The following is a 26,987-nucleotide window of genomic DNA, read 5'->3' on the forward strand; positions in this document are numbered from 1 at the left end:
ACAGTCCCGTACAGCACCTGTCACAGGTGCTGATCATTAATCAGCTATTACAGCAGTTTATTCTGCTGCTGACAACTCGCAATTTTCCACTGATTCAGCTAGTTTGTCAGGTGGGAATTATGGCATAGCGCATGTGACAAAACACATCACCCTTTTTTTTTGCATTTTCAGGCTTCTCTCTCCTGCTTTCTCCCCCTTTTTAGACAAACAATATCTGGGAACTCAGAAGTAATAAGGCGGAATGCATAATTAATTACCCAGCTTGCTCTAATTAGGGATGAATAAGTTGTGTCCCTCTCATCATCACAAATGTGGTGATGGGTAATACCAGTTTATGCTGTATTAACTGCAAATATGCAATCCTTCTGAGAGCACTTTTGTTGATGAATTTGATGAATGTGACAATAATTAGCAGAGACAGATGAGAGCTAAATTACTACTGACAATGTAATGCTATCCTGCTCGAGGGCCTGGGAACGTGGCAGGATAACATGGCAGGGACCTGGGCCTCGTTTCTAATTAATAGTCTTTTTTTCTTTTTCTTTTTTTTTCTTTTTTCTTTTTTTTTCTTTCTTTTTTTTTTTTGCCAGTGGGGGAAAAAAGGAGTAACGGTAATTGTTTTCCTCAAAGGCTGCAGGGAGTTATCAGGGTAATAAAGTTAATTAGCAGAACAAACATCCTTTCACTGCCTTACCAGTCTGAGGAAAAGAGGGTAATTCAGACTGCAGAAAGATATGACTAGATGGGATGATAAGAAAAGAAATCTTACACAGGAGGCCAACAGAGAATGATTTTCTCCCTTCATTTATTTGGCTTGATGCATGGAAAGAAATTAGACAGCCTCTTCCTTCAGGTCACAAAGTTGCTCATGTAAAGGACTTTATTGTTATGATTTTGAGTTTGGGAAATAAAGTTAGCTTAGATAAACTCCACTGTTTACTTCTTTCTTTTCTAGGTAGTGATAGGTTTGTTCAATTTTATCTTTATTCAAGTGCATTTTCCTAATGTCCCAGACGTAGAAGTGAGTTCTAATATTTGCCAAAGAGAACATTTGGCTGCACTTTGACTTACAGAAATCTGTTTTGTTCTCTGAATCTTTTGGAAAAAGTAAGAAATTGTTCAGCAATTTCCACGAAGTAGTACTCTTTATTTTCCTGTGTAAATTTAAAAATCAAAATGAGATTTTTTTAAATGTATATAATCTAATTCTATTTTTGTAATCTCAAAAGTCATCTTTATTAAAATGTGGCAATATTGTCATTTCTGTCGTGGCATTGTAGATATATGAGTAATCAATCAAAAAGGTGAATAGTTCAATGAATCTCAGTTTTACATATAGCTGTATTCAGTTTGGTCACATTGCTTAACATAAGTAGATTCAACATAATGGGAAAACATCCACCAGACATTCTGAAGACTTTGCAAGTTTATTTTTTCCTATGAAGATCATAAGTGGTTGGCCCCCTTCAAACATCCTACATCTGAAATGACTGTTTAGTATGAAGTAAATAACACTAGGATGAAAGCCTGAAGCTTTCTAAAATAATATCCACAAGGAGGTGTCTATGATTTTTACTCCTTTTAGGTACATTTCCAAAAATTTTCATTTTATGCTTCATAAATCATTACATATCTAAGTTCTACATATTTACCATGCATATAAATGTGCACACATTCATTTATTGTTAGAGCTAAATGAAACACCTTTCACATGACTGTGTGTTTAATTCTAAGTTAAGAACATAAGGAGTTAAGTGGTGAATTTCTACTTCTGTGTTTGACAGTATGGCACCAGGCTGACTTTTCAACAGAATCCTATATGGATAGACTTCCATGAAAAATGGGTGAAACTTCTAACAAAATGGCCTTTATTCCTAATATCCACATTACTAAAGTACTGTACTAGTCCCTAAGGACAAAAGTAGTATAGAGGACATAACACTGAACTGACTGAGTTGTTTACTGGCTGTGCTACCACATGTGTATGACTTGCATTGTCCTGTCATGTCCCTTATCGTTGATTTGCTCATCTATAAAACTGGTTACCCTGCCCTGCCAACCTCATAGGATTGCTATCGAGCATACACACACACACACACACACACACACATACACACACACACACACTCTGTCTCTCTCTCTCTCTCTCTCTCTCTTTTAGATTGCTATGTTTTACCTTGTATCCTTAGCAGCATTTTTAATTTTTTGCCATATAATCAAACTTTACCTTTACGTAGAACTAAAAGAAGCATTCCATGCTACTTTCCAACAACGTGTAACATTTTAAAACAAGTTCACTTACCAAAAGGGAGACAAACTGAAAGAAGTAACACAAAAATACAAATGCAAAATTGCTTTTTTCTAGAAATGGTCTAAAATTTTTATTGTGAGAGAAAGAATAACAGGGAACACATTTGTTTGTTTCCTTTGGGACCTAAGACAAACGTATTGAATATTCTGGTACTTTCCCCTCTAGCCACTACTTCCTTCATTGGACTGCAAGGTATTTCTGTTTGGAAAAGTAATGGAGTCCAGTCAACTTCATTGATCGCCAAGGACTGTCAAAATTATAAAACTTGCTGTGGAGCTCTGACATGCCAGAAGCCGCTAGAAAAAGAAGTTTGACATTCAGAAACTTATCAAGAGGTTCTACTCTTTGGATAGAGACCAAAATCATACTTTGAAGTAAGTAGTAATTTCCAATATTAGCCCATTGGGTGAGCTAAAAATGCCTTAGTTAGATTTGCCAGAATTAGAGATTACATTTGTTAGAATTAGGGGTTCACTAATTAGATGCCCTAGGCACTAGCCATATGTACTATTGGTATTATTATGAATCTTTAGGAATTTAATTCTTTCTTTGCCTTTTTTACTCTGAATTCCTAAATCATTGTTTGAAAGAGTATTTTGACCAATGCCCAGTTTATAAGGGTTCTGGGGCATTTTTGCTTCTTGTATGAGTTCAGTGGAGTGTTAGTTGGCTAACTAATTACAAGGGACTAAAAATAAACCATGGTTTATTATTTTCCAATTTTGAATTACAAAATTATTTAAATGTCTGTAATCGAAGTGCTACATTACTATGTAATGAAATTACAATACAGCTTAATGATATTAGGAAACTGCATGCAAAAAAATATTTGTACACAAGGTGGTGATGTTAGCAACCAACTACAGTACTTTTATTCTGCTAAAAAACACAATAAATAACAACAGATTACTTTCCCCAAGTGATCCCCAAAGGGCATCTTTAGTTGTTCATATAATGATAGCATGTAAGGGCACAGAGCCACATGGAAAACCTGTCAGCATATGTCATTAGAGTAGCAGAGAAAAAAGAGAAAAAGGACAAATCACAAAATAGAGAATAACTGCTAAAGAGTAAAATTATGTTTACAAGTAGTAAAGATTCAAGAATTCAGCCCTTAATACATAAGTTTCCATTGACTCCTATTTAGATATATATGTCCAAGGAGTTACATTCTAAGTGTAAAATTGTCTCTGTAGCTCTAATAAAATATACCTACTTTCCAGACAGCTTTCCGTCTGAAAACTTTTGCCTCCCAAGCTTCCCCCTGCCTTTACAGTTAAGTTTCCTGATTCCAATCCTAACTACAACCTTGGTCCACTGAGGACAATATCTTTCCCTCTATTCATGTTCCTTGTGCACAAATTCAAGTTTTTATGTTTCTATTAGTATAATTCAGAGCAATTAAAAATTGAAGCTGCAAAAATAAGTCACAAACATTATTTCTCATGAAATATTTGACCTTATCAATTCTAAAATATAAATTAATACAAGCTAACATTAAAACCAGCTCATATTTCTTGTAAAGTGGTACATTAATAATGACCTCTCAGGCATAATTAATTAATTTTATTATATTTATCCCTAAAATTCACATATTTGTTATAGTGACATGTATTTATTCTCAGATACTTTTTTAAAGTAAATGATGTCATCAGCAGGAACACAGAACTTGTTGGCTGCAAGATAGAAAGCATATATGCCATGAACCAAAAAGGTAGGAAGGTGTATTTTCAATTTTAAGGTTCTTCTCCTAAGATGAAAAGAGCTGCAACTGTTTTTGCAAGTAAGAAAGCAAAATATCTGTTCTTGAATTATCTAAGGATGAGTCAGAAACTTAAAGCCGAAGAAAAGTAATAAATAATGACAACAGATGTTTGTAAACGTGTGCTCCCCTGTTCAGTGTTTGTATGTGTTGTTTTGCCTTGATGTGCTGTCAGCAGCCTCTCACCTGGGAGTAGTGATATCTTATCAAAGCCCAAACAGTTCCTCTTCACAACAGACAGATAATAGTCCCTTTCAATTTATCATACTGGAAGTCTAAAAGAACCATGGGAACGACTGGTCAGGTGACAGCTTGATGGACAGTTTGACACCCCTTAAAGCATCATGGGAAATGGTTGTCACCTGATTTTCAGAGCGACCAGGGAGATAACCTTCAGAATGATGAGGGAAACAAAAATCTGAATATGTGTATAAGATCCAGTGCCAGCATCAGTGCTCACTTAAGTGATAATAAGTATGAATTTAGATGACTCAAAATGTTGTTATCAAACCTGAGGGGTTTTCCAAGTCCAGAAGTGCCCATCATCTCTTTAGATGCCTTTTATATTTTTATTCAAATGTCATTTCAAAAATATATACATAATATAAGGCTTTCATTTTAAAGAGACACAATCAAACGTACTAAATATTTAACCACATGTTAAATATATTAGCTGACCACTAATATTCTCCAGATTTCAAGTCTGCTTTCCTTTTGACAAACTCCTCGTATACCATATCCTAAATATAGTCTGCATACCGCAGTTCTAATTAAGAAGGCTATTATAAAAAAAATCATATAGATCAAATTTTACAGGCGGGACTAACTCAGACTCATGAAGATCGGTGTAGTGTTAGTGCAAAAAAAAAAAAAAACAAAATGAAATCAATTTGAAGATCTCAGGCACAAAAACCTTTGAATCTATATTAATTCACTCATGCAGCCAACAAACATAAATTGAACACTTACTACATGCAAGGGTCTCTGCTGGACATATAAAGATGAGAAAAATAAAAGCCCAGTTTTCAACAGCTCACAGTTTGTGAGTGAGGATAGACAGTTTTAAATGATAGTAGATGGCAAAAGAAATCATCAGTCTAAATCCACTGCCTTTTAGTTGGTGAGGCTTACACACAATTGCTGACAACAGTGTCCCTTCCATATTTTCTCTTGTATATTGTATATGCAGTTTACAATGGTTTTGTGGTCTGACCTAAAGACATACTCCCTGGAAATTGGGATTCCAAAGGGAAAAAAAAATAAGGATTCGGTGTTTATACATTTATTGAGTGCACTCCAACTTTGAAGAATGATTTCAGAAACGGTAAGGAAGTAAAGAGACTTGAGATGAAGTTCCCACAATTGAGTAGGACCCTAAACCTCACAAACTGTCTGTTCCTTAGGTATTTGAGCTACTTTTTTTTTCAGAGCAGACACTCAAAAACTTAATTGTAAAATTATATCTCATATACAGAAAATCTAGAATAATACAAAACACTCCTTTATAAACTTATTTCAAAATTTATTAATCATTAAGATTTTGCCACATTTGTTTTTATCATTCCTGTTCTCTCTCTCCTTCTTTCCTTCCTTTATCCCCATTTAGCTATCTATATATTTTTCAGTAATGTTAATAGGAAGAAATGAAAATAGATTTGTGTCTGATTCATCTATATACTTCTTCACAAAGCCTGCCAACTGCCTTGTATATATGTAATAAATATTTATGAATGAATGAATGATGAATAATATTCAACCTAGATCTTGTCTTTGATCTTTTAGATTTGTGTTTGTACATAAATATAAAATGTACTTATTATTTTTCTAAACATATGTAATCTTTCATAAAATACTAATCTACCCCCCAAAACTATGTCCGATCAATGGGTCTAATAAACAAACAACAAATTTTTTTTTTAATGCAGCAGGAATGTCAAGTGACTTTCCAAAGAAAGTAAAAGATAAAAGCTTAGGTGCTGCTGGATCTTTGTCCTGCTCTGGGACAACTATAGATGCTGGACAAAAAAAAACCAGGGATTTAAAACAGAAACTATCTTTCAGAAAAACACTCTAGTGCCATTGTTGAAATTGGTACCATTTGGCTGCTTGACACTTTTGGGATAACACTCTGCTTTCACAAATTTTGATGCTTTGGACTCACATTCCAACATGATTTTTCAAATCTAGTTGTGCGAAAGCCAGACAAGCCAGACAAATAGTGAGAGCACCCTCCGTGTTTTCCAGGGAACTGAAAAAGAGCCAGTAAATAATTTAAATAACTCTTACCAACAGAATATTCTACATGTAATTTTTCACACGAAGACACATTATTTGGAAAAATATGAATCTGAAGTTTGCAAATGAAAAACAAAATGCTTTTAAGTACCATATGCAAATTTAAATACTTGGAGAGTGATAAAAACACATTGTGCTTATTTCAAATTGGGAGGGCAAGATGTGGGAGGGAGATGTGTCATAATTGATACATGGACAAGGTCCAAGATGCTACAGAACAACTGAATTCAGAATCATTTCTGAATCAGAGCTGTGGTTTAAAATGCTTTTCCTTTCCTTGTTGAAATAAACCCATGGAACATCAAGTTACGACAAGTCCCAGATGTAGTCCCTAGTTCACCTGATATGAATTAAGTTTCATTGTTAACAACTAATGTCCTTATTTAAGCCAACGAAATAAGCTAAATATAAAGCCAGTACCAAGCCTCATAACGTGTTTCATAATAATGCCAAAATCTGTGGTCTGGAAACTTAGAATAAATACTAAATGTGAAATTTTCAATCAGACACACATTTTCTCAGAAAAAAAAATCAGACAAAAAATTCCACAAAAAGAAAAAAAAAAGATTTATTAGTTAATTCATAAAACCATATGACTTGAAAATATTACATGCACTTTTCCATTATACATTTCAAAATATAAGGTCAGCTTGACTGTTAAGCAGCATTTTGGAGGTCAGAAAAGTCTTACATTATTGGCTAGTGTAAGTTATATGAATTGCGGACTTTTTAAGCACCATGTGTACTTAGAGTGTATAAAGTTGGGGATCTTTTGATTCAAAGCATGTAAGTTCCACTGTTTAGATTCTTCCACTAAGGTATAACAGAGTCTCCGTGTGAGACACAAAGGAAACCATGTGTCTTGTGACTCAGATTAGGGTTTTTAAGTTATTTATATAACCTCTCTTCTGTCAAGGCATGTACACTGTGCTTCAAATGTGGGAAATTCTGGATTCATTTCTCTTATTTTTCTGATTGCATCTTTCCAAATTTGGTAAGTCTTGGTATTCTAAATGCGAAAAGCTTTTCATTAGGTACCTTATTTTATATAAACTTTTTTGTCATTTAATCACTTTTAATGATTAAACAACATGTAGCTTACACAATTAGAAAATGGTTTTAAGGTTTCAAAATCCTCTGAACTTGTCGTATTTATTCTGTACCTTTCTAGTAAACTGGAGGCTTGTCAGAGTAGTGAATAAATGAGTATGCTGTTTTCTTTAAAAAAAGATATTTAGAAATCCATCTGATTTCCTCAGTGCCTAAAAGTAACCATTAAGAACCATTAAGAATTATACCTGAGGCTTAATACCTAGGTGATGAAATAATCTGCACAACAAACTCCTGTGACACAACTTTACCTGTATAACAAATCTGCACATGTACCCAGAAACCTAAAATAAACGTTTTTAAAAAAGACTGTTACCCTGTTGTTACAGCTTTTATGACTTCTTTACCGCTAAAAATGTTTAATTTTTGTCATAAAAATATGAAAATTGAGAAAAACAGGGGGCTATGGCAGGATATCTCACTAATACTATTTTAAACATTTGCTATTACATTATTTAAGCTACATGTTTAAATTTATAAGCCCCTGTTTTGAGTGCAGAAAGGGGATTCTAGCTTTTTATCCAATTTCTCCTCAGAGTTCTGATTTGTAATTATTCAGAGATTTATGATAAAATTTCTGAACTTCATATATGCTGAATTATCATAGGATTATCAAAAAATAGCACCTTACATGGTTCAACTTTCACTTGTACTAATTCATTGTCATACATTACTCTTTTGAAGGATGTGAAAGGGAAAAAAAACAAAGTTAGGTTTACAGTAATTCTTAGAATCCAAGTAGCGTTAGTACCTACATTAGCACATTTTTTTTCTAGACCGTTCAACTATAATGAAAACTCAAAGTGGAAAGTGAAATTATGCCCAACCAAGTGACTATTTTGTGTGCATTACATCAAATAAACAGTTTGACTTTTTCCACTGAGTATGCTTAACTGACAGTTGTTTTGGAATTTTACAGGCACAGCCATAGTGTTTTTACAATCAAGCTGTGCTTCCCATTATCTGTTATATATGGCACTTTAAACTCTCCACTTTCTTTGTAGCCTTATAGTTAGCAAAGAACAAATGAACGTCACTAATGTCATTACATTCCACCCTTGTAATGTTCTTTATCTGTCATCTTTGAAAATTCCTCTCACCTCCTCTTTTGTCAGCCAAAAAGATTTAATTTGTTCTTATTTCTTCCTCTTCACCATCTTAGGAAAGTTACTTAAAGTTCTCTGAGACTCAGTTTCCTCATTTATAAAGTTGAAATAACTATACATACTTCGATTTGTTAGGAAGATTGAAGATTACTATAAGTAACTGCATAGTACATACTGTGACACAGTCTGCTCTCCATAAGAGGTCATTCCCTCATTTTGATTAATATTGAAATTCTTATTGACTGACTTGTATCAAAAGACACATTATTCAATGTCTTAAACAAACGTCTTTTCTCAATTGTACTGAAGCCAAGGTGTCATCAGCAGGTACTAATATTTCTTCCGGATCTATTCATTAAAAAGGACTGAACACAAACATAATCCTGAATCATAAGACTGAACATTGCCAATGCTCAGAAAGCAGAATCCTCCCCAAAGACAAAAAAAAAAAAAAAAAAAAGAAAGAAAGATTTTTTGCCCACCTTATTTTAAAAGACCAATGAAAATCTTCACTTAAGACGTTTCACCTACAATTCCATGAAGCAGTAGTAGAAGAACATTTGGATTATGTTGTCCGAGACATTTATATGGATATCCGAAAACTTCAAAAGATAGTCAAGGTATTATTAACATTTTGTTACTATGACATCAAGGAGGAAACTGTCACAAAACGGTAACAACACAACAAATGCTTATTCAGTGCCAGGTATTGTGCTCAAGAATTTGACATGGATTATTGTATTTAATCCTCACAACCCTACTGAGGTTGGTATTACTATTAATGTTATTTTATTGTCATTTTACAGATGAGAAATATAGTCACGGTTAGGGCTAGCAGCATGGTCAAGCATGGACGTGAGTGTTGGGGCTGAAAATGGAAGTGATCTACACAAAACCCATTATGCTCATTTGGACATGAGCTTAAAAAATAAGTCTATTTTTTTTTCTTAAAGAAAAAGATATTCTTAAAGAAAAAAGGGTAGAAAAAATAACATGCAAAATTTTGGCTAAAGAAGAGGAATAAGTTAAAAAGATCTGTTTTATAACATGGTGACTATAGTGAATAGTGTTTTATATGACTGAAAACTGCTAAGAGAGTAGGTTTTAGGTGTTCACAACACGAAAAAGTGTTAAGTATGTGAGGTAATACATATGTTAATTCGCTTAATTTAGCCATCCCACAATGTGTACATATATCAAAACATCACGTTGTACACCAAACAATATTGGCAATTAAAAAACAAATTTAAAAATCTAATTCAAGTTGTGAGTAAATTCTCTTTTAAAATTCACCTGATTATTAAATAAGTTAAAGTTTATTTTTAAAAGCTGACAACTTTTTATGAATCTTCGAGTACAGAGTTCCTAACAGTGTAACTCAGATATTAATGGGTTGTGTATTAAATGGTTTTATTTTCAGTTTTGCAGCACAGAAAACTGTTGAAATACCCATATCAACTTGATTTTTTTAACCTAATTCAGGTGTCCTTTGACATATCTTAAACGTTGGGGGTAGGGGTCAGAGCCAGTTATCCGGCTTCTATTTTTGTCGATTGCTTAGATTTGTTCCTGTAGTCAAAACTGTTGCCCCCAAAATTGGTGTGACACGTGCTCATGCATAAAATGTTAAAATGAGTACATCCTTGTATTTGTATTTGTTTTCAACATCGCCAACGTGCTATGGGAAATTAAAGTAACAAAATTAAAAAAAATAAAATTATTAAAAAGCCAAAAAAATCTAATTGTAAATATTTAAAGCATTTATTTAAACCAGTGGTTCTCAATTTTTTTGGCCTTAGAACTCTTAGAAACATCTTTAAAATTACTGAAGACCTCAAAGAGCTTTTGTCTATGTGGGTTATGTTTAGCAATAGTTATCATATTAAAAATTAAAACTGAGAAACTTCTAAAACAGTTAACATTTTATTTTAAAATTACAATTTAAAAACCCATTTCATGTTAACATAAATACTATATATTTTAAAATAACTATAATTGTTTCTTGAGAAAAGTGGCATTATTTTACGTTTTTTCAAATCTCTGTAATATGTGGTATAACAGAAGACAGTTAAATGTGCATACCTGCTTTGCAATTCATCTATTGTGATATGTTATTTTGAAGTCTATTTTTTAAAAACTAACCTCATACAAATGTGGGTGGAAAAAGAGGAATATTTTAATAGCCACTTCAGATAATTATGTCTATTATTTATTGATACACCACCGAAACTTTACAAACATGGTTTTTAAAGGTTAGTTTCAAAGTGGAGTTTGAAACAATATCAACAAAATTTTTATTTTTTTTTAAATTTCTATTTTAGAGCTTGGACCACAGGCACATGCCACCACAACTGCTAATTAAAAAAAAAAAAATTGTAGAGACAGGGTCTTGCTATGTTGCCTAGGTCTTGAACTACTAGCCTCAAGGTATCCTCCTGCCTCAGCCTCCCAAAGTGTTGGGATTATAGGTGTAAGCCACCACTTTTGGCCTGAAATTCCTATACACTGTATTTTAACACCGTTAGTTTATTTGGCACTTAGAATGGATCTTTTATATACCGATGATTTTGAAGTATTACATGTTAGACACATTTGGAAAATATCTGTTCACTTCAAATCTTCCACATATTAATACATTTTATTATGCCGTATTTAAAAATTAAACCACATTGGTTAATACCATCACTGGTTTTATTATGAAGTCTGCTCGTGACTCAAAAATTGCACCAGTGCTTTCCTTGAGATAGCCATCTGACTTCAATATACACAAGTGCTTTATGCAGATTTCCCATTTTGTCAAACAGAATGTTAAAAATATGCCCTTGAGAGTCAAGGTTTAATAAAATTAATGACTTTTACTGTTTTATCAAGAACATCCCTAAAGTGAAACTGGCTATTTATTATTTTAGTGTAAGTGTGTGGAAGTGAAGAATACACTGACTAGTAGTATAGCTTAGTGCCAGTACCTTAAGTTCATGAGTAGTTTTATCCATTATTGCTTGTGCACCATCAGTGCAAAGTGCCAACACAGTAAAAAAAAAAAAAAAGCAAGTAACATTTTAATATCGTTATAAAAGTAAATTTGACTTTGTAGACCCCCTGAAAGGGCGTCAAGGATCTGTAGAGCCCTTTCCGAACCGTTGATTTAAGGTTGTACTCTCCTTCTGCCACTCAAATATTCCATAGGTGATTCTAGAAGATGAATTAAAATGCAATAGAAAAGTTGCATGTAAAAAACTATTCCTTAAAGTAAGATAAATAAAATAGATTTTTTAGAAAGGGGAAAAAACTATTCATTTGATTCTTGATTCTCCTTGTACTATAAAAGTTAAGCAAAACTCGTCCTTTTTTCATATGCTATGTAACTCGGAATTCACTTCTTTTTAATTGCTTGTCTGAATTATTGTGGTCCCATGTCTATGCATACTAGTGATTACACTGTTTTGAAAGGCTTTTTGAGCAATATGTTAGGAGAAAGACAGAATAAACAATAAGATTTTCAGTCTGTAAATTCGTCACTGTGTATAAACCACACAGCAGGTGAAGTCATTCAGGTCAATAGGGTATCTTTCACTAATCAACCTCTACATTAATTTACTAATTTCTCTGTGCCTCCCCAAAGTGAGAACTCTATTCAGATGCATTATTTGTATTTCCCATTTTGAATAGATAATGAATATATTATGATGCAATTAAAGGTACACAGATTGTGTGTATTAGGTTTTTTCCATAACTAATTCAAGAATGAAATAATATATGTTGTTTTGAAGTCAGTTGTCACGGATAAATGAGAGAAGCTGGCCATAATTGAACCTGAGGTGAATTCCTTTAGACTGGGCCATTGTAAACTACTTAATTCTGAAAATATCTCTTTAAAATAAATTTTAAACTTTATCCCAACTAATTCACTATGAATAAAGGTTAAAGACTTAATCCTATGATTTTATAAATCCTTGTTGTTTAACAAATTACATGTTTGTTTTACTCTATTATCAAAATCAGTTCATAAATGAATCTTCTTCAACAAGAAGGGTTGGTGCTTAGATATAAGGTACCTTGTAGTCTGTGAACCCTTTATTGTAGTCATTTTACATTTTTAATATGTCACTAGTTTCTTAATTATTTTCTTCCTTTTTTGGTTGGAATCTAATAGTAACAGACATGTAATAACTTTTACCAAATTTCCTTCATATTATTTAAATAACTTTATTTGGGGTAAAAATAAAACTAAGATATTCATTACAGGAGTGGTATGAGTGGGGAATAGAGTGAAGGTGGTATATTTGCCTTGACCTTTCAAAAATCACCTGCCATTTCTGTACTAAAGTCATGCTAACCAGGGACTACCTTTGAGCTTGCCTGTTTCACTCTTTCCTGGTACAACAGTACCCCTCAACCTCCTTCATCTTTTCCTTTAAATGCTACTCATTCTTCAAGGATCTCCTCAATAAAACCTACTGATACAGGTGCCATACTTAGCTTCTTGTTTATTTACAGTCTAAAGGCATTGCTTGTGTTTCTTCAGCATTTCTTCTAGCTCATTACCATAGAGCTAAGTTCTTAATAGGCACCGCTGAAAAAATTGTCATGGTCAAATATAAACTATTAGAAGGAAACAAACAAATGAAAGTTAGTTTGTTAGAAGGATGCTTTTCACAAGTGATTTGCTACATATCATGATTTTGGGAAATCAACACAAAATTAGAAATGGGAACAGTTTAAAACTCAGAAAAACAATTTCCCTAAGGAAATTATAAATTATTTTGCCCTCTAAGCACTGAATAATATTGAGTAAAGGTTTTTTTTTGTTTGTTTGTTTGCTTGCTTGGTTGGTTTTTTTTTTTTTAAGAAAGAGTAAAATGTTAGCTATAAGATTGCTATAATTTGTTAATGGACTAAGCAATATTCATAGTAAAGAAGAAAAGAAACAATGTCTGCTTTGCTTTCTTAAAAGGCCATGTATTAAGAGGCATAACACAAATCTTATAAGTTTGGAAAAGAAGTAAAATTGGAATTCAGCTCAGTCCGACTCTATGTGCTTGAAATCTACAAAAAATTCTGTACTCACCTCTGTCACAAGCATTTAAAATATCTATTTCTGTTGAAATATGGACCTCAGTAAGGCTGCCATTACTGCTTTCTTAACTGTATCATTAGCTTTTAACAGAAATATGAATTACAAATATTAGAAGACACCACTTCCATTTTTATAAATATTATCATTAGAAAACTGAGAAAGGCCAGAAAAATGAAAATTTAATATACATTAAATAGAGAAAAATCGATAGCATACGTGTATGCTAGCAACAACTCAATAACTCATTAGAAAATAGAAGTTTTAAAGAAGTCCTATTGGAAACACACACACACACACACACACACACACACACAAATATACTTTTAAATCTCTAGGCTGGATGCAGTGGCTCACGCCTGTAATCCCAACACTTTGGGAGGCTGAGGCAGGCTGATCACCTGAGGTCAGTAGTTCAAGACCAGCCCAGCCAACATAGTGAAAACCCATCTCTACTAAAAATACAAAAATTAGGCTGGTGTGGTGGCACACTCCTGTAGTCCCACCTACTCAAGAGGCTGAGGCAGGAGAATCGCTTGAACCCAGGAGGCAGAGGTTGCAGTGAGCCGAGATCGTGCCACTGCACTCCAGCCTGGGTGACAGAGACAGACTCTGTCTAAAAAACAAACAAACAAACAAACAAAAACTCTAAATAGCTCTATAAAACTTTCACAAGAAAAGTGCATAACTTATATGAAGACAACTAAAAAAATTGTTAAAAGATAATTTTAAAATTTTAATAAATGTACAACTAATAATAGGCCGGGTGCAGTGGCTCACACCTGTAATCCCAGCACCTTGGGAGGCCAGGGCAAGCGGATCGCGAAGTCAGGAGATTGAGACTATCCTGGCTAACATGGTGAAACCCCGTCTCTACTAAAAATAGAAAAAAATTAGCCAGGCGTGGTGGTGGGTGCCTGTAGTCCCAGCTACTCGGGAGGCTGAGGCAGGAGAATAGCATGAACCCGGGAGGCGGAGCTTACAGTGAGGAGAGATTGCGACGCTGCACTCAAGCCTGGGCGACAGAGCGAGACTCCATCTCAAAAATAAATAAATAAATAAATGTACAGTTATATCATATGCATGATTAGGGAAACTAAACACTATAAAGACAGTAATTTTGCCAAATTATATATATATATATTCACATCTAATGTTATTACAATAAATATCTTAAACAAATTGAGAGCTGGGGGTCCTAAAATGCACTGGAGTACTAAACGTGGGAAAATGCAAAGAAACTTTTGAAAAAGAAATGTACTAAAGGTAAAGTAACCATACACATTGTTTTTTTAAACATTTTTTTTCTTTAGTGACAGGGTCTAACTCTGTTGCCCACACTGGAGTGCAGTGCCCTAATCATGGCTCACTGCAGCCTCAGCCTCCTGGTCTCAAGTGATCCTCCTGCCTCAGCCTCCAGAGTAGCTGAGACTACGGGTGCGCACGAACACACCTGGCAAATTTTAAAAAATTTTTTAGAGACGAGGGTCTCACTATGTTGCCCGAGCTGATCTCAAAATCCTGGCCTCAAGCAGTCCCCCCTCCATGGCTTCCCAAAGTGCTGGGCTTACAGGCGTGAGCCACTATGACTGGCCAAACCATACAAATGTTTTTTTGGGTTTTTTTTTTTGTTTTTTTTTTTTTTAGACATGGTCTCGCTCTGCCATCCCAGCTGGAGTGCAGTGATGCCATCATGACCTCCCAGGCTCAATGGATCCTCCCATCTCAACCTCCCTAGTAGCTGGGACTACAGGTGCATGCCACCACACCAGGCTGATTTTTGCACTTTTTGTAGAAACAGGGCTTTACCATGTTGCTCAGACTGGTCTCTAACTACTGGGCTCAAGTGATTCTCCCACCTTGCCCTCCCAAAGTGCTGGGATTATAAGCATGAGCCACTGCGCCTAACTGCACCTGGCCCATACACATTTTTTTTAACATACTTCAGCTACAATAATTAAAAGAATAAGGCTGAGGCCAGGCATGGTGGTTCATGCCTGTAATCCTAGCACTGTAGGAGGCCAAGACAGGTGGATCATCTCGACTCAGGAGTTCAAGACCAGCTTGGGCAACATAGTGAAACCCTATCTCTACCAAAAGTAGAGAAAAAGAAAAGAAGAAGAAAAAAAGAGTAGTGCTGAAATAATAATTTAGCCTAGTGTATAATAGCTCAGATATTATGTATGTATACATCCTACTTATGTATATATTATATATTATATATACAATTTAATGTATAATAATGTGTAACATAAGTAGTCAATGAGGGAAAGGAAGGATTATTCAGCAAGTAAGAATGGAAAATAAACTAAGAATTTGGAAAAATCATTACTTTAGATGGTTACTACATGCACAAATAAAGTATGCATGTTTTGAGGAGAAGAGCTAAAAGGAAAAAACTCAAAAATTTTGCAAAGAGAAGATTCTAAATATTGCTCATTTGTCTAGAGTGTTTATGGATTTTAATTTCTAATGGTTTCTATAATGTATGCATCTTTGTCTCCTTCACAACTAGCACTAAGTTTTCCATACTATTGGGTATGCAGTGCACTTTTTGCAAAGCTAGTTAGTTGATAGAGTCATTCATTCATTCATTTACTCATTCAAATATTCACTATTTTAAAATATTTGGCCACATTTCCTTTTTAAAGGTACATTTTTTCCTCTGAAGGAGTATATTTTGATCTATCTTTTTATCTGTAAAACTTAAAGTTGTATTTGTTTTGGTTGGGCCGTATTTTCCTATAAAAACAACAACAACCCAAAACTGAAAACAACTTTATGCCTTTAGCTTTTGGGTTATACCATGATTTCCACCACTGGAGCAGTTGAATAAAACAGGATTTAAGATAATAGAAACCCAAAGAACAGAGTTTTTCAATGACTTTCTTCATACCATAATTCAAACACACTAGTCTGAACTTCATTTTCCCAGTGTAATGATTTTGGTCATGGATAATTTGTGACCGAGGGTTGATATTGGAATTGGTCTCATTTCAGGATGAGAGTAAGATTTATATGAGAACAGCAAGATGATGGTCAAAATAATCTTTCAAAAGTCAGGAGATAACCTTATCTCAAGAGAAAAATACTGTCCAGTGACTACATGTTCTAAAATAAGGGGCTTGCTCCTGATCTTGTCAAGGAAACTGTAAAAATATGATAAAATGGAAGCTATTACATGAGTTCAGGGAAAATTGAAGGTATTTTATTTAAATGTTGCTCTTTCCCCAGTCTGCTATTTGTTGTTGATTTTTTACAGGATATTATTTCATGGCATTTTGTTAGAATTTTGTACCTAAAAGAAATCTTAATATAATTTGTATTATTGACCTGAAAGTTCAGAGGCAACATTTTCAAATAGTAAGCAATGTCTGAGTAAAATTTTATTACTTATGACAAAGGCATCCCTGTTATTTGTAGATATATTAGTCAATTGTACTAAAAGTACTCTTTCTAGTACTCTGTAGATTGTGTTTATTTTTTATGTGTGTATTCTATTCTTTTAGAAACCTTAAGTCTATAAATAATTTTTTTCCATTTGAGTAAAAAATCCATTTTTTTCTTTTCCTAAATGATTGCACAAGGTTCCTCTCAGTTTCATGAACCTATGATTGTTTAAAAAAGCTGAATCTACTTTGATTCCTGATGGCTGCTCATGTATTACTTTGAATTTCCAGAAACATTTATGAAATAGAAACTGATGACATATACCAGCAGTCTTGTAGAGGGCACTCACTTCATGTAGTCCATTTTGCTGAGCACTTTAGGGCATGTGATACTTAATAGCTGGTAATTTTTTAATATATTCATAGGCAGACAGACAGATATGGATAGATGGGTGAATAAATGGATGGATAGATGGATGGATGAATGGAGGGTCAGGGAGGTGACCCTATTTGTATAGTTTGGTCTATTCCTGATGAGGCCAAAGCCTTAAACTAATTTCTTTCCAAGGCCTTTGTATGACAGACATCATCTGTCTTGCCGAGTGCTTCTGCAGGAGCCTGTCCAACACTGTTCCTTTATGAATGGCCTCCCGGGGTCCTCAGGAACCATGCCAGAGTTTTGCCAACTTAGATTATCACTCATGAAGATCCTTCCAGGCTTTGGTTATTTCCATGGCTGCTGATTTTTACATTTCTTCCCCCTCAGAGCAGCACTGAACTCATCAAATACAATTTAATTCTCTGTTGTTGTTTTCTGAAATGAGCTAAAAATAAAAACCAAAAAGTTCCTATATAATATTTTGAAAATTATGTAAGGAATAAGTATTGATAGTTCATTTTTAAAGGAATGTACCTGTATATTCTAAAGAAAAAAAAAGGAATGATCTATAGGAAAGGATTTATTTTTCTGTGTAAAAATTTCATAAGCAATAATTCTTCTTTAAAAAAAAAGCTAGAATCAAGTGGTAGCACCATGAATTACCAACATTCCTCTGAATACATTCTGCTACTAGATTAAAATGAAGCATTTTGCCTCTGCTTTCTCTCTGACAAATGGGAACAATCCTAGCCATTTGGCATTAAGGCTGCTGAAAGCTGACATTAATGATCATTATAAAGATTTGTCAGAATCAGTCTGGATGTACAGGCTAATACACACACTGACATTACATGGGGTATGTTTTTTTTTTCTCTGAGAGATGGAACATGAAATAATCTTGGATCAAGGATATATAGGATGGCATTAGACACTGAAAGAATGTGAGAATAAAGACAGGGCTATTTTCACAGTAATAAATAATCTATCTCTAAAAATAATCTCTAACTTCTGGCAGTCCACATGGGCAATATCTCTAGTTAAAAGTCTTCATGGTATGATTTTTCATAGGGGAAACATAAGATACATGCAAAATACATTCATTCAGCAATCATTAAAAAGTCAGGAAACAACAGGTGCTGGAGAGCATGTGGAGAAATAGGAACACTTTTACACTGTTGGTGGGACTGTAAACTAGTTCAACCATTGTGGAAGTCAGTGTGGCGATTCCTCAGGGATCTAGAACTAGAAATACCATTTGACCCAGCCATCCCATTACTGGGTATATACCCAAAGGATTATAAATCATGCTGCTATAAAGACACATGCACACGTATGTTTATTGTGGCACTATTCACAATAGCAAAGACTTGGAACCAACCCAAATGTCCAACAATGATGGACTGGATTAAGAAAATGTGGCACATATACACCATGGAATACTATGCAGCCATAAAAAATGATGAGTTCATGTCCTTTGTAGGGACATGGATGAAGCTGGAAACCATCATTCTCAGCAAACTATCACAAATACAAAAAACCGCATGTTCTCACTCATAGGTAGGAATTGAACAATGAGAACACATGGACACAGGAAGGGGAACATCACACACTGGGACCTGTTGTGGGGTAGGGGGAGTGGGGAGGGATAGCATTAGGAGATATACCTGTTAAATGACGAGTTAATGGGTGCAGCACACCAACATGGCACATGTATACGTATGTAACAAACCTGCACGTTGTGCACATGTACCCTAAAACTTAAAGTATAATAAAATAAAAAAATAATAAAAATTATCATCCATGTATTTCAAACCCCCATGACACAAGTTTACCTATGTAACAAAGCTGCACATGTAACCCTGAACTTAAAAAATGTTTAAAAAGGAAAGAAAATGAGAAACGTGAAATTCAAAAGAGTGGTTATTTTTGTCTAAGGAGAGAAAAGAATATGATAGGGAAGGACACTTCTACCTCTGAAGTAGAGGGGAGGGAACATGGGTTCTTGTTTTATAACTCTTTATGATATATATACATATATATATATACACACACATTTCTATTATACATACAAAACAATTTGTATTATACATACATAAAATTTGTATTATACATACAAAACAATATAATATATACTTTTGCCTTGTATATATAGTTTTGTATGTATAAAATAAGGGACTTCATGTTTTTAAAAACGTAATTATAAATAGGTAACTTGTTGGAAAAGTCAAAAATATAATTTACATATCAATCAAATGCAAGATAATTTGTAAGAAAATAACTTTCATGTCCATCTGTAACTGACGGGCTCAATATCAGAATAAGCCCTGTGATAACTGGTGAAAGTAGTAAATGCTTAGAAGTGATTAAGCACTTTATCCTCAAACCATTTTATGGGTATTATATATTTGTGACAGCTGTTAGTGCCACAAGCTAATATGAAAAAAACAGTGGCTAGTACAGTGATACAATAACCTCCTTCATCATAATACAAGATATTTTCCAGCCATACTGTAAATTCACATCTTCCCTACAGCACATATCACAGGGCATTAAATGTAGTAGATACATAAATGAGGGCTTACTTCAAAATAACTTCCATTAACTGAATATTTAACATGGTCTAGATAATTCTCATACATTATTTTTTATTCTCACATCCACCCCGAAAGGTAGGTAAACTTTTTTCATTTTCAATAGCAGAAGCTATGGCTCAGAGAAATTCAAGATTTTGCCCAAGATCACAAAGGTAGTGTATGGCAAAGGCAGAATCTTAACCCAGGTCATTCTATTCCAAGAGATGTTTTCTCTCAACCATACAACCATCTAATGGCAGATAAAACTAATCCTCACAACCACCTTTTGAGGTAGGTCCTATTGTCTTCCTAAATTTACAGATGAGGAAACTGAGTCATGAAGAGATTGTCAACTTACCTATAGTCACACACTTGACTTGGGATTGGGGAGACAATAAGTGGGAGGGAGATGGGACCAGATCCCGTATCCTTAGACCTGGATTGGTGGTGACTGCTATGGTAGAAGGATGCATGTTATGCACAAACTTTTCCAAGGCAAACTAGCAAGGAAGCCTGCTGAAGGGTAGACCTTACTCGGGTGGCCTGAAACTGACAAAAATGCTTCACATTCTTAGGCCTTTTATGATCCTCTTAAGAGTGAAAAGAATCTCCACATGTGGCCCAAAAAACCAAAACCCACAGTTATATACACTTAACACTTAAGGAATTCGGTGCCCCGTCAGTGTGGTGAGACAAGAATCTCCCCAAAAACTATCACTATTCCTCTTTCTCCTTCTCATAACTAGGCTTCTGACATCAAAGTTTACTGTTAAAAGCATCCTTAATAGAAATATTACTGTATATATTTTCACCAGAAGGAAAAATGTCAGGGGGATTTGGCATGATAGGTGTTTACCATAAGTTTGACATGCATTATTGTTAGATCATTCTACTCTCCCTCCATAATTTTTCTATGCAATTTATTTATGTGCATATTTAAGTGGTGTGCCACTTAATTGAAATTATAGTGTGTTCAAGCCAGATTTGACACTGACTGGCAGTCGCTGTTAAGGAATACTTGGAACCTATGAAAGGGTCATTTTCCAAATAGTGCAGATATAACTCTATTCATCCAGCAGAATATTTTAGGAAATCAAATAGCTGATAGTGCCAGTACAACTACCCCATTCATTCCAGGCAGGATTATGTCTTATTTACCTCTCACAACCCCAGAACAACATATGACATATCAGGTAGTATTATAGTGCCGTTAGCTTCCTCACCTTCTCATACAAAGACTCTGCCTACAGATTCAAGTGTCTTGAAAATAACTGTTTAAAAATCACTCAATCCTCAGAAGACTTTTAAAAACGTAGGTGTTGGGCCGGGCGCGGTGGTTCACGCCTGTAATCCCAGCACTTTGGGAGGCCGTGGCAGGCGGATCACGAGGTCGGGAGATCAAGACCATCCTAGCCAACATGATGAAACCCCGTCTCTACTAAAATACAAAAAATTAGCTGGGTGTGGTGGTGCACCCACCTACTAGCTACTCAGGAGGCTGAGGCAGGGGAATCCCTGGAACCCTGGAGGTGGAGATTGCAGTGAGCCGAGATTGTGCCATTGTACTCCAGCCTGGCGACAGAGGGAGACACCGTCTAAAAAAAAAAAAAAAAAAAAAAAAAAAGGAGGTGTTTATATTGTGCATAAAAACAACCCAGTATTTAATTCAGTTTTCTGTATTTTATATCCATATATTTATTATTAGAAAAGTACAGCCCATAGCAACGGGATTCAAATCCAGACTATTGCAGATAGAGGATTCTTAATAGGCCAACAGCCAAGCAACTTCAAGGAACAAACAAAAACAATAAATAGCCTCAGATTTTACTTTTCAATTCAAAAGGGCTAACATGTTATAAAGAGTAACTGAAAATTCATCTTCCTCTTTCTCCCCTTTGTGTCTCCTACTCTACTTAGCTCTTAGACACATCATTAACCCCTCTGTGCCTCAGTTTCCTTATCTGTAAAATAGGATAATAATAATACCCTCTCTTTCATTGTTGGGTGGATTAGATAAATTAATACAGTTAAAATGCACATATCAGATACTTGGAGTGTAGTAAATGTTACATTTTAGTTCACATTAGTATTATTTATAATTACTGTTTCATCGTTATATTCCATGACTAAATTACATATCATGCTTTATCTTATAGTAGCTTTTAAAATAATAAATTGACTTAACATTTTGGATACCTCTATGAAAATTTAAAAAAAATTAGAAACACAATTAAATGAGAATTAGTGTATATCCAAAGATCACCATAGTGATAATACTCATTAAAATTATAAAATTGAGACCCTATTGAAATGTCCTTTATTTTCCTGCAGACTGGATTACATGACATCATAAGTGTGTTCTGCAAAGAAACTTCAACTGTAGATCAAATATGCCTATAATACAAAGTTCTTCATTACAGGAAACAACTGAATACCTTGCTGTCTTTTGAACTATATTTTCCCCTGTAGCTTTTGTGTCTATTAGAAATCAAGTAAATAGGTAAGTAATCAGTATATTGAAACTATTTGGGATACTAAAGGAGAAAAAATCTAACATTTATTGAATACCTTTTAAGTGTCAGAAAGTTTTGTAAGTGCTTTATATGTGATCATTATTTTATTTGGTCCTCATAACTGTCCCCTGAGATACTATTCCCTGGTTTACAAATGAGGAAATATTTTCTCAGAGAGGTCTTTATTTGATACGATTAGTTGGCTAAGAGGGAGTGGATCAGGATCTAGGACTTAGATCAATCTGTCTCTCAAGCCTATTCTCTGTAGACTATGTTTATTTTGAGCAACTACTTTTGACTGATTACTCTTATATACTACATAATAACACATTCCCAAAATTATCTGATAGTCGTCTTTAGAATATGACATCATGACCTTATGATAAATGCTAACAAAATTTTCTTACTTGCTGACTCTAATTAGAAGGACAGTTCTGTGTAATTTTTGGGAATCCTGGCAACATTTCTACAAAGGAGGGGTTCCTAGCTAGCAGCTGTAGAAAAATCTCCATAAACATTTCATTTGATATTCTCATATTTTACATTACTGCAAGTGTTTTGCACACCCCAGGGATGTGAAATGTGCCATGAGAAATGCAGTGAGCTGCCAGTCAGTGCCCTGCAGGGGGATTTATGAAATGGTATCCTGCAAATGTTGTTTGTTTCTTTTCAGCCCAAACTGCGTGAATTATTTCAACTGAATCGGGAGGGTAGATGAAGGGGTGCAGGAATCTAATAGAGAAACCTGCACCCCTATTGTTGCTGAATAAGTGGTCTAAATGATGGACTACTTATTGCGAAAGTCTGTAACTTTTTGTTTTGAGATACTGGTTTTATGTGGCTCCTGCAATTTTTTGAGCAATTACTCCCATCTTCATTATCTTTCTTCTTAAGGGAAAGCCATACTCGACTCTTTGACGTGCCCATGTCCCTACAGCCAGGAGACAGGCTGCATGTGAGGTGCTGATTGTTTTGTTCTGCTCAGGTTCTCTTTCCATGACAGAAGAAGAAGGGATAGTCTCAGGAGGTGGAAGGAGCTCGGTTGATTGGGAAGCATCATGGTTTCATAGAAAAACCTTGATCTTTTAAGAGCCTGAGTGTTAGTGGCAGCTCCTCTGCTTTCTAATTGTGTGACTTGGGCAAGGTTACTTCTCAGAGACTCCATTTTCTCATCTCTAATGTGGGAGATATAATATTGTAGGGAGTAAATGAGATGGTATTTCTAAAATACTGGGTACTAATTATCATTAGTATCTAAAATATTAATGATAATTAGTAAAACTAATTATCACTGTTTTCATCATTGATGAGGCAGTGACACAAAATTCCCATTATGTTCTAAATACATACTGTTAGATGTCTGAGAGATTTTACATCATTGGTTGCTGCTTAAACAAAGACCATTTTTTTTTTACTTTAGATATTGAAAGCAACCCAGTAGTGTTCCCTTTTTACTTAGTGGCTGCACATACCAATCATTCGAATGAAAACTCACATACTCTCCTGGGGGCTGTGTAGTACAGTGCCACAGATTATCTTACTAATAACTGAAATCCTGCTGTCTTCATATGAATTTATCAAATTATCTACTTTTATAAGCATAAATGAGATTATATTAGCAGTGTACAGGTGAAAATTTATTTTATTTTTTTATTTTTTATTTCTTATTTTATTATTATTGTACTTTAAGTTTTAGGGTACATGTGCACAATGTGCAGGTTAGTTACATATGTATACATGTGCCATGCTGGTGTGCTGCACCCATTAACTCGTCATTTCGCATTAGGTATATCTCCTAAAGCTATCCCTCCCCCCTCCCCTCACCCCACAACAGTCCCCAGAGTGTGATGTTCCCCTTCCTGTGTCCAAGTGATCTCATTGTTCAATTCCTACCTAAGAGTGAGAGCATGCAGTGTTTGGTTTTCTATCCTTGTGATAGTTGCTGAGAATGATGGTTTCCAGCTTCATCCACGAACTCATCCTTTTTATGGCTGCATAGTATTCCATAGTGTATATGTGCCACATTTTCTTAATCCAGTCTATCACTGATGGACATCTGGGTTGGTTCCAAGTCTTTGCTATTGTGAATAGTGCCACAATAAACATACGTGTGCATTTTTCTTTATAGTAGCATGATTTATAATCCTTTGGGTATATGTGCAGTAATGGGATTGATGCATCAAATGGTAATTCTAGTTCTAGATCCCTGAGGAATCACCACACTGTCTTCCACAATGGTTGAACTAATTTACACTCCCAACAACAGTGTAAAAGTGTTCCTATTTCTCCACATCCTCTCCAGCATCTGTTGTTTCCTGACTTTTTAATGATTGCCATTCTAACTGGTGTGAGATGGTATCTCATTGTGGTTTTGACTTGCATTTCTCTGATGACCAGTGATGATGAGGATTTTTTTATGTGTCTATTGGCTGCATAGATGTCTTCTTTTGAGAAGTGTCTGTTCATATCCTTTGCTCACATTTTGATGAGGTTGTTTGCTTTTTTCTTGAATATTTGCTTGAGTTCTTTGTAGATTCTGCATATTAGCCCTTTGTCAGGTGGGTAGATTGCAAAAATTTTCTCCCACTCTGTAGGTTGCCTGTTCATTCTGATGGTAGTTTCTTTTGCCGTGCAGAAGCTCTTTAGTTTAATTAGATTCCATTTGTCTATTTTGGTTTTTATTGCCATTGCTTTTGGTGTTTTAGTCATGAAGTCCTTGCCCATGCCTATGTCCTGAATGGTATTGCCTAGGTTTTCTTCTAGGGTTTTTATGGTTTCAAGTCTAACATTTAAGTCTTTAATCCATCTTGAATTAACTTTTGTATAAGGTGTAAGGAAGGGATCCAGTTTCAGCTTTCTATATATGGCTAGCCAGTTTTCCCAGCACCATTTATTAAATAGGGAATCCTTTCCTCATTTCTTGTTTTTGTCAGGTTTGTCAAAGATCAGATGGTTGTAGATGTGTGGTATTATTTCTGAGGCCTCTGTTCTGTTCCACTGGTTTATATTTCTGTTTTGGTACCAGTACTATGTTGTTTTGATTACTGTAGCCTTGTAGTACAGTTTGAAGTCAGGTAGCGTGATGCCTCTAGCCTTGTTCTTTTTGCTTAGGATTGTCTTGACAATGCAGGCTCTTTTTTGGTTCCATATGAACTTTAAAGTAGTTTTTTCCAATTCTGTGAAGAAAGTCATTGGTAGCTTGATGGGGATGGCATTGAATCTATAAATTACTTTGGGCAGTATGGCCATTTTCAGGATATTGATACTTCCTATCCATGAGCATGGAATGTTCTTCCATTTGTTTGTGTCCTCTTTATTTCATTGAGCAGTGGTTTGTAGTTCTCCTTGAAGGGGTACTTCACATCCCTTGTAGGTTGGATTCCTAGGTATTTTAGTCTCTTTGAAGCAATTGTGAATGGGAGTTCACTCATGATTTGGCTCTCTGTTTGTCTGTTAATGGTGTATAAGAATGCTTGTGATTTTTGCACATTGATTTTGTATCCTGAGACTTTGCCGAATTTGCTTATCAGCTTAAGGAGATTTTGGGCTGAGACGATGGCGTTTTCTAAATATACAATCATGCCATCTGCAAACAGACAATTTGACCTTCCTCGTTCCCTTTATTTCTTTCTCTTGCCTGATTGCCCCGGCCAGAACTTCCAACATTACGCTGAATAGGAGTGGTGAGAGAGGGCATGCCTCTCTCACCAGTTTTCAAAGGGAATGCTTCCAGTTTTTGCCCATTTAGTATGATATTGGCTGTGGGTTTGTCCTAAATAGCTCTTGTTATTTTGAGATACGTTCCATCAATACCTAGTTTATTGAGAGTTTTTAGCATGAAGTGCTGTTGAATTTTGTCAAAGCCCTTTTCTGCATCTATTGAGATAATTGTGTGGTTTTTGTCGATGGTTCTCTTTATGTGATGGATTACATTTATTGATTTGCATACGTTGAACCAGCCTTGCATTCCAGGGATGAAGCCAAGTTGATCGTGGTGGATAAGCTTTTTGATGTGCTGCTGGATTTGGTTTGCCAGTATTTTATTGAGGATTTTCGCACCAATGTTCATCAGGGTTATTGGTCTAAAATTATCTTTTTTTGTTGTGTCTCTGCCAGGCTTTCGTATCAGAATGATGCTGGCCTCATAAAATGAGTTAGAGAGGATTCCCTCTTTTTCTATTGATTGGAATAGTTTCAGAAGGAATGGTACCAGCTCCTCTTTGTACCTCTGGTAGAATTTGGCTGTGAATCCTTCTGGTCTTGGACTCTTTTTGATTGGTAGGCTATTAATTATTGCCTCAATTTCAGAGCCTGTTATTGTTCTATTCAGAGATTCAACTTCTTCCTGGTTTAGTGTTGGGAGGGTGTATGTGTCTAGGAATTTATCCATTTCTTCTAGATTTTCAAGTACATTTGCATAGAGGTATTTATAGTATTCTCTGGTGGTAGTTTCTATTTTTGTGGGATTGGTGGTG

The 26,987-nt window shown here is 34.9% G+C and overlaps 1 long non-coding RNA gene across 3 annotated transcripts in view; it reads left to right on the forward strand.

The window, feature by feature from the left end:
- Window positions 1–26,987, forward strand: part of SOX2-OT (SOX2 overlapping transcript) — a 685,549-nt gene that overhangs the window by 504,564 nt on the left and 153,998 nt on the right. For all 3 annotated transcript variants that reach the window (NR_075091.1, NR_075092.1, NR_075093.1), the window contains one exon: window positions 2,477–2,685. This is a non-coding gene — a long non-coding RNA (SOX2 overlapping transcript). The remainder of the gene's footprint in view (window positions 1–2,476; window positions 2,686–26,987) is intronic.

This window comes from Homo sapiens, chromosome 3 (genome assembly GCF_000001405.40).
Source record: "Homo sapiens chromosome 3, GRCh38.p14 Primary Assembly".
NCBI lineage: Eukaryota > Metazoa > Chordata > Mammalia > Primates > Hominidae > Homo > Homo sapiens.